Genomic DNA, 18,941 nt, shown 5'->3' with positions numbered 1-18,941 from the left:
TCCATTTCTTCCAACTGTTTTGGCTCACCTCAGTCTTGACCTCCCAGGCTCAGGTGATCCTCCCACTTCAGCCTCCTGAGTAGCTGGGACTACAGGCGTGCACCACCATGTCTGGTTACTTTTTGTATTTTTTGTAAATATGGGGTTTTACCATGATGCTCAGGCTCGTCTCAAACTCTTGGGCTCAAAAGATCTCCCACCTCGCCCTCTCAAAATGCTGGGATTACAGATGTGAGGCACCATGCCCAGCTCCGGCTGTGCCTTTGTCCTGGTCTAATTCAACTCATGTTTGCAGAAGCTCTTCTTTACCTCCAGCCTGTAAAGATCTCTCTCTTCCCTACGCTTCCAGTCTATTCGCTCAGCAAGAAATATTTCCCAATTGCTCACCAGAAAGAAGGCATTGTTTAAGGTGTTTCAAGGGACTGTGGGAAACTCAAGAGCCCCCAAGGTCCTGAAGGAGAGGTGGCTCCAGCAGCTGTGTGGGAGAAGGGCAAGGAGATCCTGCTGTCACCTGCTCATCCTCAGTAACCAGCATGGCTTGACACATAGTAGGTGCTCAATAAATAATGCTTGACCATTGAACCAAAAAACTGAGACGCATTCAGATTGCACACTCTCAAGCAGCTGGGGTGATGCGTGTGTGTTTCTGTGGAGCACTCAGGAGCACACACACATGTGCATGTGAGCGTCAATGCACCCTACCCACCTGCACACATAGACAGCCCCGATGCAGAGACCTACTCCAGCCGGCACCTCACGCGCATGAACGCTGCCTCCTGCACAAAGCTCATTTATTTTGATTTATGAATATTACAAAAATAAACCTGAGCATCTTCTTGGGGATTCTGTGATTCTGACACCAGTCCCTATGATATTGCTTTTCGCTCCTGGTTACCTGAAATTAGCAGAGTAATTCGGAATCTGCATCTTTATTTAAAAGAAAAAACTGTAGATGCAGAATTATAAAAATTTAATATGCTCCCAGGAAAATGAAAAATGAGAGGTTGTGATCTCGTCTAACACTTTCAAATGTGTTTATTAATTCATGTTTTAAATCATAAGTTTCATTCAGTGAGAGCCATGCACAGCAATAAGCCAGTTTTAAAATATTAATGAATAAACAATATTTCTCTATTGAAATATAACATGCTTCTTTGAACAATGGACCACCAGTAATAAATCAAAACCAGGAGAAAATTGCATTTCATATTTAATACAAGTTGAACTCTGCCTTTTTATAAATGATATCTTTTTTGTTTAATTGGCGTCAGTTCAGATCTAGCAGATTGCTAATAAAATTCTGGATTTCCATATTTAATGATGCATACACTTTCTGCTGAAATTTTACCAGGAAAAAAGAATCAGTCTTTTATTATCTCCTGAGATGGCGGTGAGAGGTGAGGCCTCGGCCTCAGGCCAGCCTTGAAGGTTGGGGGTGGCAGGCTGGAGTAGGTGGGCTGAGGAGGCTGCACCATCCCCAGGACCCTCACTCGGCCATTGACATGCCCTGGTAACCCTGTGGCTGACCAGAAGTAATCATTCCAGCCGGAGGGGCTGGAGACAGGCATCCCCTTCTGACCCGGGGCACAGTGTAGCAATAACAACGAGAAAATGCACCCCATCCCCGGCCAGGCACCAGTGCGTGCGGCAGCTCACTCAATCTTTACAACAGCCCTACAAGTTAGGTGAGAACAAAGTTCTCATTTTACAGATGAGAAAACTGAGGCTGCAGAGAGAAGAAATCCCATGGCCAAGATCACACAGCAGGTGAGTGGCAGGACTCGGCCTGACTCTGTGCTCAGGTTCTTCATGCTTGGAGGAAGATGCATCCACCAGGGTGTCAGAAGACCTGGGTTTTATCCACAGTGGGTGACCTGAGACTTGCAAGGGCCATGTGGCATCTGTGCAAGCTGGAATCCCAGTGCAAATCACCCCCACAGGGCAGGTTGTAGATAGAGAATAAGAGCAGCCAGCCTCGAAGGGCTTTATCTGGACCAACTTGCGTGATCTACCCTGCGATGCCAGGAGGCAGGTGCTTGACAGAGGAGGAGACTGAGGAACAGGGAGGTTACGTGACTTGCCCAAGGACACACAGCTGACAGGAGGCAGGGCCTGGATTCAACCCTGGGTAGTTTCACTCAAGAGCCCATATTCATCAGCGTTAAGCCACAGTGCTTCCTAGCTGTGAGGTCACACTGCCCCCGGGCATCCATTCTTTGTCTCTGTGAAGGGGCTGTACCCACTTGGCCGTGAGGTGTGGCTCCTGGCAGTACATTTGGTGGCGCCCAGACGGAAGCAGGCCACCTGCACATGGCTGAGTCTGCCACAGCCAAGTCATCAGGCTGGGAGTGGTTGTGCTAGTTGTCCACGGGCTGGGTTGCCGGGCTCAGCAGGGACCAGTTGCAGGTCTACTGTTGGCCAGAAGCATCTGTGGACACAGCAGCTTTCCTGAGGGTGTCTCTGGGATCCTCAGCTGCTGGGGAAAGGTGCCAATGGCTCTGATGGGGTGTTGGGAGGAGACCGGCATTCTTCCCCTTCTCCGCTCTGCCCTGCCTAAGGCTCATAGTGAACCTGCAGACCCAGCATGATGAGAAAGAGACACTGACAAGATAGCAAGGCACAAAGGAATAAGAATGTGAGTTGGCCACGCGCAGTGGTTCACGCCTGTAATCCCAGCACTTTGGGAGGCCAAGGCAGGTGGATCACCTGAGGTCAGGAGTTCAAGACCAGCCTGACCAACATGGTGAAACCCCGCCTCTACCAAAAAAAAAAAAAAAAAAAAAAAACTAGCCCGATGTGGTGGCACGTGCCTGTAATCCCAACTACTCAGGAGGCTGAGGCAGGAGAATCACTAGAACCCAAGAGGTGGAGGTTGCAGTGAGCTGAGATCACGCCATTGTACTCCAGCCTAGGAAACAAAAGCGAAACTCCATCTCAAAAGAAAAAAAAAGAGTGTGAGTTTAGGCTTCAGACTGACATTCTGGCTCTGTGTGTATTTGGCCAAGTGGCTTCAGTCTCCCTGTCTGTGAAATGGAGATGATAATTGCACCTTCCATGGGAGGCCGCTGTGAGCATTTCAAGAGGGAGTCTGGGACCAGCTAAAGAGCAAGCATCTCCTGCCTCCTGCCTCTGTAGCTTCTCTCGTGTACCCTTCCCCATGCCCCCTGCTCCCTCCCTCCCAGCTCCTCCCTTTCCCAACTCTGTAGGGCCTCTGCTGGGATGTCCAGTAGGGATAAAAAGTGCTGCACAAGGGGAATGGCAGGTCTGGGCTCTGCTGGAGGGCACAGTGATCTGGGATTGGCCTTGGCCTTGAAGGACAGGCATTCATCAGGGGAGATGGTGCAGAAGGACGTTCCAAGAACAGGGAATGAGGGGACAGGCTCCTTCTTTAAGTCTCTTGCCCAAGAGTACACAGCTGGTAGGAGGCAAAGCTAGGATTCAAATCCACATCTGGGCCGGCTGTGGTGGCTCACGCCTATAATCTCAGCACTTTGGGAGGCCTAGGAGGGTGGATTGCCTGAGGTCAGGAGTTCGAGACCAGCCTGGCCAACATGGTGAAACCCTGTCTCTACTAAAAATACAAAAAATTAGCCAGGTGTGGTGGCAGGAGCCTGTAGTCTCAGCTACTCAGGAGGCTGAGGGAGGAGAATCACTTGAACCTGGGAGGTGGAGGTTGCAATGAGTTGAGATTGCACCACTGCACTCCAGCCTAGACAAGAGCAAGACTCTGTCTCAAAAAAAATAAAAAATAAAAAAATAAAAAAAATAAAAACACATCTTTTGGGTTCCAGAACCTGGGGGTGAGATCTGTTCAAACCCAGAGCTGGTTGTCTGGCCAGGAGAGCTAAGGAGACTGGGGCCAGAGCTGAGCGGGGCAGAGCCTGGGACTTGGGAAGACACCCATGGGGACGTGGATACACACTGAAGCCCAGGCAGAATTCTACCCATGATAAAGTACACGTGGAGAACGTGCCCAGGCCTGCACTCAGAACTTCAGCTGGTAGGAGGCAGAGCCAGGATTCAAATCCATGCTGCTGGCTCCAGAACCTTCACTGTGACAGCTGCCCTCCCAGGGAGGTGCTCTGTTTGCCCCCATTAGTGCCAGGCCCAGCCCAGCACAGCCGGAGAAAAGGGGGTCTTCCTGTTTCTCACCTCCAATCCCATGATCCGTGGACACAGATAGCACCCCCCCACACATACACACAGTCTGTGACACATGCCACACACACACACACACACACACACACACACACACACACACACATACATACACACACACCACCCCCACCAGACACCCATACTCAGGTGGCCCAGGCAACTGAGGCATGGGCAGGAAAGCCACAAGCAGGGACGATTTCCCTGGTCACCTCCCCCCAAGACGGGACCTCATACTGGAGGCCTGATGGCCCAAGTTCACCAGAGCCTGTCTGATACTAGTGGCTGCTGAATGTGGCACATGGGGACTTCACAGGGCAAACCCCAGCTCTGGACAGGTGGTGTCGCTTCTTTGAGCCCCAGATTCCCATGGGAAAATGAGATAATAGCACCCCTCGTGGGACTCCACCGGCATTAAATGAGATACTGTGTGGGAGGTGCTTGGTGGGGGGCTGGCCCACAGGGGAGGACCCTTTCTTCTGGCACCAGCACTCATTTCACCCCACCTGGGAGACTCAGCCCAACGTTACTTCTTCACTTCTCTGGAATACTGCCACCTCCCACCCCCACTTCTGGCCAGGGAATGGCACACGGACATTGTTTGGTTTGGGGGCTACAGAACAGCCCTAACTTGGTTTGCAAGGCCACCTGGTCCAATAGATTTAAGAGACTCCCACACCACCCGTGCACCCCAAACAGAAGCCTGACACCCATCCCCACATGGACAGCTGCACAGGCCCTTGGGCTCCACATGCTTGTGAACACACATGGACTCTCAAGTAAGGACATGGGTTCTTGTGCATTGAGCGGTATGTGAACAGGCCCCTTCGCCTGTGACTGGGTATTTCTGGAAGTTTCCTGTTGTTATTCTCTGATCTTGTAATGGGTTTTTGGACCCCCACTTCTCCAGTCCCAGGGCTCAGAAGCCCACCAGGCTTTCCGATGCTCTCAGTAAGTGTTGGCTTCTTGAGCAAGAAGGGCTAGGTCAGGGGGTGGGGTCTGGTTTTACTCATCTCTGAGTCTAGCCTCTAACCCACTGCTTGATGCAGAAAAGGTACCTGGTGAAAATCTATTAAAATCAATGACTGATTTCACCCAATTTGGAGTGAGACATGCCTGCACAGTCTCAATGTCTGGAGAGCTTTACAAACCCCAGGGGACACCAGAGGCTGGGCCAGAGAGCCTGTGTGATGGCCCAGTTTCCTCACCTATGAAGTGAGGATGCTTCTACCCTCCCAGAGAGGTGGTGAGGAGTGAAGAGAGAAAACGTGCACATGCTTCCTAACACAGCACGTAGGAAGAGCATTGCTATTTTCATTTCGGCCTCCCTAGGATAACAGAGACACCCACAATTCCCTCAGGGGTTGCTAGTCAACGTGTGAATCTCCTACAAGCACTGGCGTGTGCTTCTCTCCACACACTGGTCCAAGGTGAGACTCAAGGCGGTTCTGAGGAAGTGTCTGCTTTGGAATGTTAAAGATGAATCTGGGTGTGCATATGTATTATGTTCCCACAGTATATTTTTGCAAAACCACATAGCATATATTGTTTTATTTACAAAGATGAGAAAGGCTGACCCACAAGCTAATTGAATCATGCAAATAACTATTTAGCCATGGGAGCAATTCCTACAGGCAGGCTGAGCACCAAGTGAGGGAGGACAGCTTTGGAGGGCAATCTATTTTATAAAGTTTACCCTCACAGTGTAACTGCCTGGAGATTAATGGGAATGGTGGCCCTAGACCTTGTTTTGCCTGGCTTTACCAACTGAAAGAGTCAAACAGTTATATCTATCATAGACAATTTGCTGCAACTAATTAACATTAATCTGATTTCCTGTGGGTCAGTTTCCTTGAGATATAGTAAACAGGCCAATTACCTGCCATTGACCTCTTTTATTATAAAGATTTAGATATTAGCGACAGATGTATATGTAAACATATGGAATTTCTAACAATTTGAAGAAAACATGTTAAATCCAGTTAAAAGATTTTTAATTGGTCTTAGAAGATTACAAATTTAGAGTTTAAAAAGGTATGTTGAATATTGCAGGGATTGTTTTTTCAACGGCATCTGAGGTCCATTCTTTCCAAACTTTTGTTAGTCTTTAACTGTAAAGAAGTTAAAGGTGAAGAAGCAAATGTATGCCAGACGCAGTGGCTCACACCGGTAATCCCAACACTTTGGGAAGCCAAGGCAGGAGAATTGCTCGAGCCCAGAAGTTCAAGACCAGCCTGGACAACACAGTCAGAATCCATCTCTAAAAAAGAAAAATAAGTGAACTTAAAAAAAAATCTTTTCAATCAGGTCCAGTGGCTCACACCTGTAATCCCAGAGCTCCAGGAGGCCAAGGTCGGAGGATTGCCTGAGGCCAGGAGTTTCAGACCAGCCTAGGCAACATAGCAAGCCACGTCTCTACAAAAAAGAAAAATTAGCCAGGCATGGTGGTGTACACCTGTAGTCCTAGCCACTCAGGAAGCTGAGGCAGGAAGACCGCTTGAGCCCAGGAGTTTTACGCTGCAGTGAGTGAGACTGCATCTCAAGAAAAAAAAAAAAAAAAAATCCATCTAACAAGTGCCAAAGGCATCACTAGGTCAGGAGAGTGTGAGCTGAGGGCAGAAAGACCTGGGTTCAAGGTGTGACCTCTTGCTGTCCTAGGTCTGTGACCTTTTGGCATTCACTTAAGTTTTCTGAGCTTCAGTTTCCTAATCTATGAAAATGGGGAGTTTTCCTTGCGGTGTTACTGAGCACATCAGGATCAAGTGAGGACTCCTAACAATGGTTCAGTAGGTGGCACGGTGCCTGCACACTCAACAGCAGCTGTTCCTTCCCTCCCAGCCTCACCGTCATCTCAGAGTGGTCTCTGACAGGAGGCAGTTACACTCCCAGGCCTGGTGCTGGGTGCACTTTCTCCTCTGCCTGCACTTGGCTGGCTCAAATAGTGAAGTAAGAAACTGCATCAAAATTTAATCATGAAAGCAAAAAGTTTATTCATGTTTGAAACTACATATAACTACCACGAGGAAGACTTTTTCAATCCAGGGTGTAATCCAGTTAGAAAGGAACACGAAACGTTTTTAATACATTAGAATCACCGCCACAAATTATTTTCATGACTCAATCAGTTTCAGAATCGCATACAATACAAAAAGAGAGAAAGGAGAGGGGGCCCCATTACACAGGGTGAAATATACAGTACTGAATACTGAAATCTGAATGCATCACAATTAGTCGCTGCTTTTTTTTTTTTTTTTGCATGGATTAGTAATAAGATGAAGAACATTCAAAATGTTTCTCAGTATTTACAACAGTTTTACCGATCCTGTGTTGAATTAAGACCCAATGTTTCCACACTCGGTTTTTTAAAAGTTGCAAGTGCAACCCTGATTTTTCTTTTAAAAGATTACAATGTACATTACATTTTATGAAGGGAAACAAAGAGTTAATTACAAGATGCAAAAAGATAAGAAAGAGACAAACTACAGCGTGAGTATTGTTCAGAGGTAGTAAGTGAGCACTCTAAGCTACAGAACATGTTGAAATTCTATTGGTTTGTATGAGTTCGCATGAGGTAATAAAGCTGTGTTTTGATTGGTGGGATGTATAAATACTCTTTTGCTACACTATATACAACACTCCAGAGAGCAGGGCCTTTTGCAGATGCCCAGAGGACGTAGCAAACCTTGACAAGTCTGTGCAGCACCCAGTGCACACCGTAAAACCCCAGACGGATCAATCTCGTTTTCACCTCTATCAGCAGCAAGTATCTTCGTCTCTCAGAACAATCTGGATCCATAATTTTATTACCGAGCAGACTCTGGGCACTGGTGCTTTCAGAGAGAGAAACGATGCTACCAGTCTCTGATCTAATTATAACATAAGAGATCTGAACACAAACGTGACGAGGAAGATTCTTAAACACAACCATCATTAACAGGGATAGGCAAACAGCTCTTTATTCCAACTCCATTAGTGATATGAAAGAAAGACAATCCAAGTCAGTAATGGAAATATGCAAGAAGTTCAATTTAGGTGAGGTGAATTTTTGCATCTGCTTTAACGGTTGAGGTTTAGTGTATATTGTACTTTTTACCCTTAAGGCCAAGTAATTGGCAACTGTGAAACCATTAATGTAAAATATTGATAATAAATTATGATAAAATAGCTACAGGACTGTCAACAATGTTAAATCTTGGCCTAATTGGATAAAGTGCTTTATTTTTTTTAACATTGTGTGTTTTTAAGTATAAATACAAATGATTATGATTCCTTAAAAAACAGATTTACCAAGTTCTCGAATAAGACAAGGTTTTACAGTAAAGCTGTAGATGGTGGGCTACAAAAACGCTTTCCTTTTCCTCCTATTGCTCTGAATGCACTTATCAAGGCATGTAGCTCAGGGAAAAGTGTGGCCAGAGATTAGTTAGAGGTATCCGAGTGCACACTTCCTGGGCCTTCTGTAGGAGAAGTCACAGAAGATGGAGTTGTTGCGTCCTGCCAGCCTCCATTAGCCTGAAAGGAGAAACACAGTTCAACGGGTGCACGTCTACATATTAATTCTACTCCCCAATTTAAAACACCCGGATGACAACATGAGAGCAGAGATGCATTAGCAAAATGTATTTTCTAAACCCACTGTGGCAGGAGTTGGCAGCATGTGTTAAAGTGGGATTAAATGCATGTAAAACAAATCCATCCCATCAAGTAAAGTCTTGGCAATAAATCAACACGCCGAAGAAGGGCTTCAGCGAGGCCCATGCTGGCATCGAGCTCGGCCTTTGATCTGCTGGTAAAACTAAAGTGACTCAAAAAGAAATCTCTTCAGAAGGGAGCAGTGGAGAAGCTCAATGCAATGCCTCAGCGAAACCCAGGGCTCCATGAAGTCTAAACTTCACCCCGGCTTAATCATCATTTCCATAGAGAAGCAGTTGCCCACCCTTTTTCCATACACGCCTGACAGCCAGCTACTGTAACCCTTGGAAAGTGAAGGCCAGAATTTCCCTCCAAATAGGATCTTCCAGAATGAAAATGCATGAGCCGCAGAGCAGCACACACTGTTAAAATCTGTATTCCAATTATCTGTGGCTGAGGCTCCTATTTGGGATGTTGCTCCCACCTTCCACATGCTGCTGGCCCTTCCTGCCTCAGACCTGCAGCAGCAATAACCGTACTCAGAAACAAATTTGCCTTATGTCTTGGCCTATAGTGGCAATTGCTGAAATCAATGTCTGATCAGATTTCTGCTGTGGCAGACAGCTTGTCGCTACATATTTTTATGTCAGTCAGGAAGAGGGAGGTGCCAGCCTCGTGAGTTGGGGAACACTGAGTGGAAGTGATGGGGCAGGCCTTTCTGGAGAGGAGGTGAGGGTGAGCAGGCTCCCCGTGCCTGCAGCACCAACCACCCTCTGCCGCCATGCTGCCCCCAGACCCGGACCTCCTACACCAATGTCAGGGTGGGTCATAAGGTGCCTCCTGCCTCCCTCACATCTATTTGCAACTTCCTCTGCAAGTCCATCCAAAATGCCCTCTTTCAGGCCTGGGCTGCCAGGCTGCTGAGAACTCTTGTCTAGATTCCCTGCCCAGCCTAGATACAGCTCCTAGATGAGCATGTGGCAGCCATTGTTTCTTCTTCTGTGATCACAGTTCCTGGAGAACTCCCTGTCTTCTAATTCACTGCAGAGTTGGCATGCAAAGCACCTTTTCTACCTCTATGACCTAAGAACCCCACAGAGATGACCAGACCCTAAGGGAAGAGGATTTTCCAGGCTTGAGGCATATCAAATTCAGGTTAGGAAAAACAAAAGGAAACAGTATTTAAAAAAAAAAAAAAGCTATGGTGGTATTGTTTTAAAGCCTCTGTTTTGCCAGGTTGGCTAATGACATGCCCATGTGTGTTCGGTGGACTCTCAGAAATCCTCTTCTCTAAAAGGTAAGCTGTTTCCCCCCTCAGGTATGAAAATCTACTTAGGAAAAGAAAAACTCTCACACAGATACAAGTCTAAAGATATTCCATCTGAAGTAAACATCATTCCTCTTTTATCCAAATTTATAAACAACAAATGTACAATATTTTTACCCAGCATGGCAGCTGGAGGAGAGGTTGTCAGCAAGCATTCTTTTTTTTCAAAATAAATTAATCCTTACTCTGGTGGTTTGAGATTATGCACTGTATTATACAACAGCGCCTTATCAAGCCTCATCAGTGAAGATGGAATTCATGTCTGTAAAATGCTGCAGGCAATCACAGTTTCATATTTTATCATGTTGATAAGGATATCGCACATTCTCTGAAGCATTTCAAAACACTTAAATGAAAAAGGAGAAATGCAACTAAAAGGCTTTTTATATGGTTTGTTGTGGGTTATTATGAGTTATTTATAAGCCCAAAAAGAAAGATTTGACATTTCAAATGTAAAAGATTTGAGTATTTAATGGTCCTTTTTTCCCTTTACAATTGAACATCCTCAATCACTTTTTAAATCATTAATATTTACTCTCGTAGCAAGCCAAGGCCCTAAAAAGGAAGAATTTTGCCCATTTTCTTCCTGAGTCTACTACCGTGAGCTGGGCAGTTAATTTCCTTCCTAAGTCTAGAACCCCAGACTCCATCCACCACACCCCGCAGCACCACCACGATGACCTGCTCCCCTGCCCCCTTCCCCCTTTTCCAGAGCTGTGTGTTTTGCCATTTTCCATCCATGTCAGTGGAGGGAAAGGTAAAGTTGTAGTGAAGTAGTTACAAAAGTTAAAATTATTTCCTCCATAATTAAAATTGTCAAATATGTTGTGCATCCCACATTGACAATACAGCAAGATGCTTTTAATAACACAATTATTTGTTTAGCTTGGTTTGCTGGTCTGCCTGGGATTCTCCAAACTTACCACCTTCACCTGAGTTCTGTTTGGGAATTTTTCCCGCTGCCTGGTTCTAAGATAAATGACCTGTTTTCTACCGTCTCCCTGGAGCACAGCACTGATGGTAGGAAATGGCGTCTTAATGGGCTGATGCTTAAGTCCCTGCTGATGACAGGACACCAGCCATTTCTGGGCATCTATGAGGACTTCTAAGGGTATCTAGACGGCATCAAGCATTTAGGTTCTTAAAATAAAAGTGCAGCAAAGACGCTGCCTTCCCTACCTGCCAAGAAGATGAGAAGCCAGGTCAAATGGCTATTAATTTCTTTATTAGTCACTGTTTACCTGACACTGTTCTCCTACAGCTGACTCCCCAGAGTACTCACATTTAAATTATGTGGACTGTACAGTGAATTTCCTCCAAGGCCATCACTGTAGCCTCCCGTCTGATTGATAACATGACGGAGGGTATCCACCTAGAAGTGAGACAAAACAAAATTCATCATCCCAAATCTATTAAAACGTCATCACTTACAAAAGGAAATAATTTGAATTATGTGTGCCACAAGGGTTTAACATCTTCAATGAAAGACAAATTTATCAATCAAATGTGACTGGCAGAATTTCAACCATTCTTTGCATATTTAAACTCACAAATCTTTGTTTTTCATGCCAGCCAAACAATAACATCTTCATGGCAATGCAACTTTCCATCTACAGCAACCAAATGGATGTGGCTGTGGGTGAAAGCCTACTTAGAATTGTGTATATGGAATTATCTCAACTCTCTTTCTCTCACTTTCTCTATGTCTCATACACATACATCTAGATGTATAAAAACTATATGAATAGTTCTGTTCTCAAATAAGAGGACAAGAAAAGAGTAGAAATTATAGAGTTATAATTTAAGAACTCAGGTTTTTGTACTCTGACTTGAGAAATGAAACAGCAACATGTTCTTAAACCATATACACACTGGCACACTCAATTTTTCTGTTCTATTTTGTGACAAAAGTAAGATGCACCCAACCCCTCTCCATGAGCTCAAGCCAGAGCCGAATGCATTCACAAAGTTTATCAGGTTTGAATCATCACAAGTCACTGTTCACTTGACTTCTCATTAAATTAAATGGTGGGGCAGATGGGTCCTGGTTGGAAGCACCCAGCACAGGTTCTGCATGGATGTGTAGACCACTTCCATGGGGTCAGAGGAAGGAGTTTTGAGCCCAAACCCTACCCTGCTAGAAAGGCCCCACTGGGGCATTTCTCCTACCTGTGATTGCACATTGGCTCCGACTTGGGACCCTTGGTAAGAATCCCCATTCAGACTCTGCATGTTCATGAACATGTCCCCAGAATTTGGGAGGTTAAAAGAACCAGAAGAACCTGGAAAGGAAAGAGTTAAGTAGCTGAATAACAGAGAGCTACACACATAATCCTCAAAGACCTAGAGGCAGGGAGATGAGAAAAAGTACAGAAGGGAAAGGCTGTGCACAACATAAAGCATTTCCAGATCTAAGAGGATGGAGAGTAACTCCAGAGAGTTGGGTCCTGTGAGTCACTCCACATCTAGGAGAAGTCCCATCAGTGGGGAAGCCCAAACTTAAAAAACAAAAGCAAAAACAAAGAGACAAATCAAAATAAATTAAAAAGAAAAAATAAACCAAAACACCCAGCAGCTGGCCTGGACCCTTCCCCTTGTTTCCACTCATCTCCAGGATTTAGTCATTACACGAGCTTGTCAACATGGCTGTCACAGTGGACAGCCACCCAGAGAAGAGACTTTTCCAGGAGCTCTTTCTTCGCTATGCATATACCTCCCTCTCCTTTCATCTGTTTTTATGTGCCATTAAAAAGAACTGGGGGGTGAGGAGACAAGACAAAACAAACAAAAACCCCCCTACTTTCTGAACTTCTAAAGATATAGCTAAGAGACCTTCTCAGAAACGCCCCTGGAATTGCTACTGAAGTCCATCTGTTTGGACTAGCTGCACATCTTTCATTGTTATTCAAGTTCCCTGAAATTTTAAAGTATTTCTAACCCCCTCACAAACGTCACATAAAATGCAGCCAAAATGTACCGGACGAGGATCCAAGAATCTTGCATGCATGTATTAAGCACCATAACCCTCACAGCTAGCCACCTGCTGAGCATGCCGTCAGCCCCGCTCAGACAGTGCTGCTGAAAGGCAGAGAAAGGACAGCGGTGCTGGGCAGAAAGCACTGCTGCACTTCCCTCCAGCATTCCAGCTTCCTCACACACAGCAACTGCTGCATTTCCCACTTCTGCTATTTCACTCTCCACAGACCACTACTGACCCTAAAGTGGTATCTGGAAAGAAATAGCTAAAATAGTCATGAGCGATAGCACTCTGCCTAATTACTGAACTGAAAGCCACTACTAATTGTAAAACTTCCATAATCTACTAGTGAGTGGCATTCACTGTGAAGAGTGGGTTTACAGGCTCTGACCTTCCACTCATTCACCCATCTCAAGAACAAGCCTGCATTTGAACATAAATCTTCCTTTTTAAGTCCACTCTGTCCTCAGTATGGCTCTTGTTTCCTGGCCTGTGGGACAGGGCATTGTGGCATAAGGCTGCCTGGGCCAGTTGGGGAGCGAGCCCCCAGTACGCACCGGAATTTGGTGTGGTGGGCGAATTGGTCTGGTTGTTCTGCACAGCTGCTGCTACTGCGTGTGCAGCTGTCACGGCCGTCTTTGCAGCATAGAGGTTGGCTTCTTCCTGAAACTTGCCAATGTTCTTCTTGTACCTGATTCGTTTGTTGCCAAACCAATTGGATACCTACAAATTGCAGGGACATGGAGGTGAAGGGGAAGAGAGGAAGAAGTAATCAAATTCCAATAATACCTGCTGGACACCAAGGCAATACCTTGGGAGACACACAATTCCTAGCCTGCAACCTCACATCCTATGGATCATGCATAATGGTTTTGGGGGTTATTTTCTCTTTTGGCAAAACTCTCACATTCTTTTGGAATAACGCTGCTTTCTTAGAGTTGGCCACAGTAATACCAAAACGGCAGGGAGCGCTGCTCATAAAAGATATCCAACTGCTATATACCGATTAGTATATAAATAGTCAGGCCCCCAAAATCAGGCTGAAAAGCTGAAGGAAATATTTGCTAAGTTAGGTAAATAATAAGAAATACTTGAACATGAACGACTTATTCTTCTTTTTTGGGTCTAGAACAATTTTGGCAGCTGTATAGTAGAATCATGTTTGGTCTGCTGAAAAGAGTAACATCAATTAATAATGGATGAAAAAACCCTTTGTCTTTTGCCTCAGAAAATACTGCATGTCTGCCAAGATGGCTGCTCAAGCTCTGCCAGTTAACATGTGGGAAGGTCACAACTTGAAAACTCAAGTAATTCCAACCAGGTCAAATGTAAACACAGAGGAGCAACTCTAATGTCATCAGGTGGAATATATTTCTTTCTTTTGCAAACTTCTTATGATGTCAGCCGGTGCAAATGGAAGAGAGATTTCTACAAAGGATCTTGGCAATAGGCAGATTTCATCACACGTCAAGGAGAGCAGAGCTCAGCCCCAGAATCATGGCTCAGAGTTACAATGTATTCAGGCACCTGTAATTGAGCTATATAAAGAAGCTAAAAGCCACATGGCAATTTATAAGAAAGTATACCCACACACTATATAAAAGGATCTGACCTCTCTTTTATTAAAGCAACAGTTTAAAAATACTTTTCAATAATTTCTTAATAATCCTGTCAAAGGGGCATATTGCTGTGATATCAGGCTGGGTGGGGTCACTGTTCTACCCTGAAGGTATTATACTTAACAGCTATTCATAGGGGCCCTGAAGAGACGTAAGGAGTAGTATGTAGTTTGAAGCCTTCCAACCCAATTTACACTGTGGGCACCCTTTTTGACCATCTCTGCCAAGTCTTTAATTGGTTTGGAAATAGAATTCCCATTCTTCAACCTATGGCACTCATCCTTCTGGAAGGAGCAGAGAGCCCTGGCAAGGGAGCCATGTGAGGAAGACAACATTGGCCTTGCTGCTGCCCATATGCTGTCCATCCTGGGGATTATGGAGTGCACACATGTGCACATATACACATGCAGGCATACTTGCCGAGGACCCATGCAGCAACCATGAGCATAGGTTCGTCAGACAGAAACAAGCCAAAGCCCATCAGGAAGTAAATGTGCTACAGATCAGCACTTCCTAGCTGTTTCTGTTCTACCATCATTTTTTCCCCCTAGAAGACTGTATGTATCCCTTCTTTTCTTCATATCAAATACAGTAGCTCTAATAACTATCATTTGGTGAATGACCATTATGCAGAGCACCTTGCAGACATTTTCTCATTTTAATGTGAACAATTTCAAGGGCTAGGTGGTAGATGGGAGTGGTTATACTGGCATGACACCAGTCCCAAATCCAATGGCCTTGTCTCTCTGACTAGTCTGACCTCTCAGCAGTGTCTGATACTTGTAATTACCACCCCTCTTGCCTAGAGCAGGCTCTTACATGGTGTATGTGACATTATACTCCTTCTCCTCCAACATCTGCTCTTCCCTGATACATGAGAGAGACAGACAGAGAGAGAGAGAGGAAGACAGTGAGTTTTCTCCAGGACTCAGCTCTTGGCCTTCTTCTCTCTTGCACCTAGAGCAACCTTATCCATATTCAAAATTTCAAATATCCTCTCTGTGTGGATGACTCCCAGATTTATAGTGAGTTCTCATTTTTAAAGAGATTTCCATATAAATGTTCTGCCACAACTTCCAATTCAATGGGTCTAAGAGGAAGTCGGGTGTCCTCTAAGCCTGTGCCACCTCCTCTATATTTTCTTTGTGGTCCTGATCTCTCCATCTCCAGAGATGTGGTACTCACTACCTCACAATATCCCCGCCTCCATTGTTGGATAGTCCTAATGGGTATATAGTTCTCTTTATTCTGAACTACAATCTGGTTCCCTTTCCCTTCCACATATTGGTCCTACTTCCAACATCTAGACTATCACAACATTAGGCCTTCAGGCTCAGCCCCAAGGGACCTCTCCATCCTACTATTAGCCTTCTTGGCCTTCCCTTCCTTGAGCCCCATATGCTCACAGCAGGTGTGCATTATAACTGCATAGGATGTGGCAACAGGAGGAAGTTAGGAGAGTATATAAGCGAGGAAGCCATGAGGGCCTGAGCCAGGCAGAGCAGTAGGAGTGGAGAGGGCACATATTATGGAGGAGGAACAGACAGAATCTGGCCACTGACTAGCTCTGGGGTCAGTGGAGAGGGACAAGCCAGAGACGATGCAGGTGTGGTGCCCAGGCCTTGAGCAGGATGGAGACAGATATTTGGGAGGAATTTCTGCACCAGGACAAATCCTCAGTGACCATTAGAATCCATACCAGAATTATGTGATTCTAAAAACAGAAAAGTTCTAAATCAAGATTGGAAAAGGACTATAAAGGTATGGGTTCTGATTACGCTTCTTAAAGCATGTTCTCTTTGACCTTACCTCATGTTTCCCAATGCATGCTCTCAGCTCAGGAGACAGACCTAGAGTTGGCTTGCAAAAAGCTCTTTTAATACATAATTATCACTCTAGCGTTTCTGACTAAGACTGTCAGGCCTTAGAAAGAGTTAAATATTGAACATATCTATAGTGCAAAGGAGGATAGTCTTGGTTGAGAGGGAATTTGGTATTTCTTAAGCATAATTAATGAAAATTCCCCAACTCTGAATTTAGCAACAAAGGCCCATCTTAGAATTCTCTTCTTCCAAACAATTCTCTGTTGGATTCAGTACTTTGTAGTTAATATTACCTTGACAATCAGAGAAGCTATAATACATTAATGAAACCTAGCCTGGAAAATCAGATTACAGCTTTATTAACAGTTTCATAATTGAGGAATCTCTGTACCATCGAAGGTCTCATCTCTAGATATGTAAGAATCCTCTGTTTATGCATACCCCTGGACCAATCAAACAACAGTCATCACTAATAAAGGTTTATTTAATTCTCACAGTAAAATTTTAATATCACCAGCAGCCTGGGGAAGCTTTAGCAAGTGGATTTGCTTGACATCAGATCGTTTTTATTCTGCTAGTCCCAATACTTCTTAATCTTTAATATCAAGGCAATTAAAATTAATGGCCACTCATCCGAAGCTACTGTGGGCACTGTTTCCTTGACATCAATTGTTTGATGGGATTACCTAGAGGTTAAACTAACAAGCAAGGTTTAATTGGAAGCAATGAAAGAAGCAGTGATCATTCGTTATGTTTAACCTGCATAACCACATCTAAATGAATATCTAAAAATGTTAAACTATTTCTCAAATTAAAATATGCACATCACATTCTGATATTACAGATTTGGGTATTGCAGCAATCAGCTATTAAGACCACACTGCTGCAACTGAGATGGGGTAATTAATGTATCAATCGACACCTAAATTCAGGATTTTTTTTTCACCTTTTAAAAACAGATGGATATAATTAGTTGCAAAAGAAGCCCTAAGCTCACCCAGTAGGAAGCCTCAAAGGCTGCAGGTCATGGGGCCCCTCCTGCACAGAGCTCACAGTGGGGCCAGGCTGCATGCGCAGTGCATGAAGGCGAGCAGAGCTTGCTCCATCTCTGAACTGGAATGGTCTGTACAGTGGTCCCAGAATAGAAAGGCAGGCAGGAAACTGGTGAAGGGAAAGGGACTACGCTGTCCTGTGCCTCTCTGTTGAGCCGCATATCAAGGATTCATGACTCTGGATTGTGCCCAAGGCAAAGGGCCATGGAAGAATTTTAAGATCAATTAAAAATGAGAATAAAAGCACAAGTACTCTCCCTCTTCTACTGATGTTCATTGTTATCAGCCACCAGACCAAGCCTCTGGTGATTAGGGGAATGAGTAGTGCACATTATGCAGTCCGCTGATTTTCTGGAACTTTTCTGCAAGGCCAAGGAGCAGCCTGAAAGGGATCTGGTCTCTCGCATACACTACAACCGTGTATTTCCCCCACGCAATTCAGCTATAGATTGACAATTGCTTTTAAAAGTAAAAATGCTTTCCACATAATACAATAACTAGATTCACCTTTTACCTAGCTTTTTTACCTTCTTCAAAAAGCTTTTACTCATTATCTCCTTAGAATCTCTGACTTGGAGGGAGTTGAGTCAGATGTGGGAAGTATCACATAATGGTTACGTGCTTTGGACTCAGAATCCGGTTTCAAATTCACGCTCTGCTATTTACTAAGCTGAGTGACTTTGGACAGATTGTTTTAGTTATTTTAGTGTTTCCTTTCCTATAAAATGAGAATAACAATATAAATAGTAGTATCTTCCTCACAGAACTGTTGGGTGCATTAATGGCTTTGGCACATACCATTTACCTGGTAACTATTAGCTATTACTATCACTCATGTTTTATCAAGGAAGAAACGAGAGATCCAGGCCACAGACAAGTTGCCCAAAGTGGGATGCAAAGTGGGATGGATCTAGAATTCAGCCCCAGGACGCCCCGTCAGCTTTTCTTTTTTAAATAACCAACTGCGAAATGCTTACCGAGCATCTGCTATAGTCAATACTGTACCAGGTGCTGTGGGGAAATGAAAAAATAAACACATGGCCCCTGCCTGCCTGGACTTTACAATCTGGTTATAAAAGCAATGCTATCCACTCAAAATAATTAGCAAAACTTGCAAGATGGTGATGATCTCATGCTGAACCGTAGAGCGGAGACTCTAAAAGCAACAGGATTTGGAGGAAGAGATATCCCAGCAGGTCTGAGAAATCAGAGGAGGCTTCTGAGGCAAGGTCAAACTTGAACGGGACCTCCGTTTCAATCCAATTCAATTCCATAGTGCTTTTATTGAAACTCCACAATTCAGAAGCAGAAAACTCCAATAGCTTGTGTGGCCACAAATAAGCCAAAAATGCAAGC

The 18,941-nt window shown here is 44.7% G+C and overlaps 1 protein-coding gene across 12 annotated transcripts in view; it reads right to left on the bottom strand.

Moving 5' to 3' along the window:
• Positions 1-7,120: 7,120 nt before the first annotated feature.
• Positions 7,121-18,941, bottom strand: part of PBX3 (PBX homeobox 3) — a 220,005-nt gene continuing 208,184 nt past the window's right edge. For 8 of the 12 annotated variants that reach the window (NR_024122.2, NM_001411009.1, NM_006195.6 and 5 more), the window contains 4 exons: positions 13,649-13,814; positions 12,284-12,396; positions 11,397-11,486; positions 7,121-8,667 (listed from right to left, as the gene is read on the bottom strand). Coding sequence is in view for 10 of the 12 variants with exons in the window: in NM_001411009.1 (NP_001397938.1) it covers positions 8,575-8,667; positions 11,397-11,486; positions 12,284-12,396; positions 13,649-13,814 (462 nt within the window). In the remaining 2 variants the exon portion in view is untranslated. Of the gene's footprint in view, positions 8,668-11,322; positions 11,487-12,283; positions 12,397-13,648; positions 13,815-18,941 lie in introns of those variants that run through there. The other 4 variants (NR_024123.2, NM_001330782.2, XM_047423441.1 and 1 more) reach the window with 2 other exon arrangements.

Source organism: Homo sapiens, chromosome 9 (genome assembly GCF_000001405.40).
Source record: "Homo sapiens chromosome 9, GRCh38.p14 Primary Assembly".
Classification (NCBI taxonomy): Eukaryota; Metazoa; Chordata; class Mammalia; order Primates; family Hominidae; genus Homo; species Homo sapiens.
The sequence above is the reverse complement of the archived record's forward strand: the minus strand, read 5'-3'. Positions and strand labels throughout refer to the sequence as shown.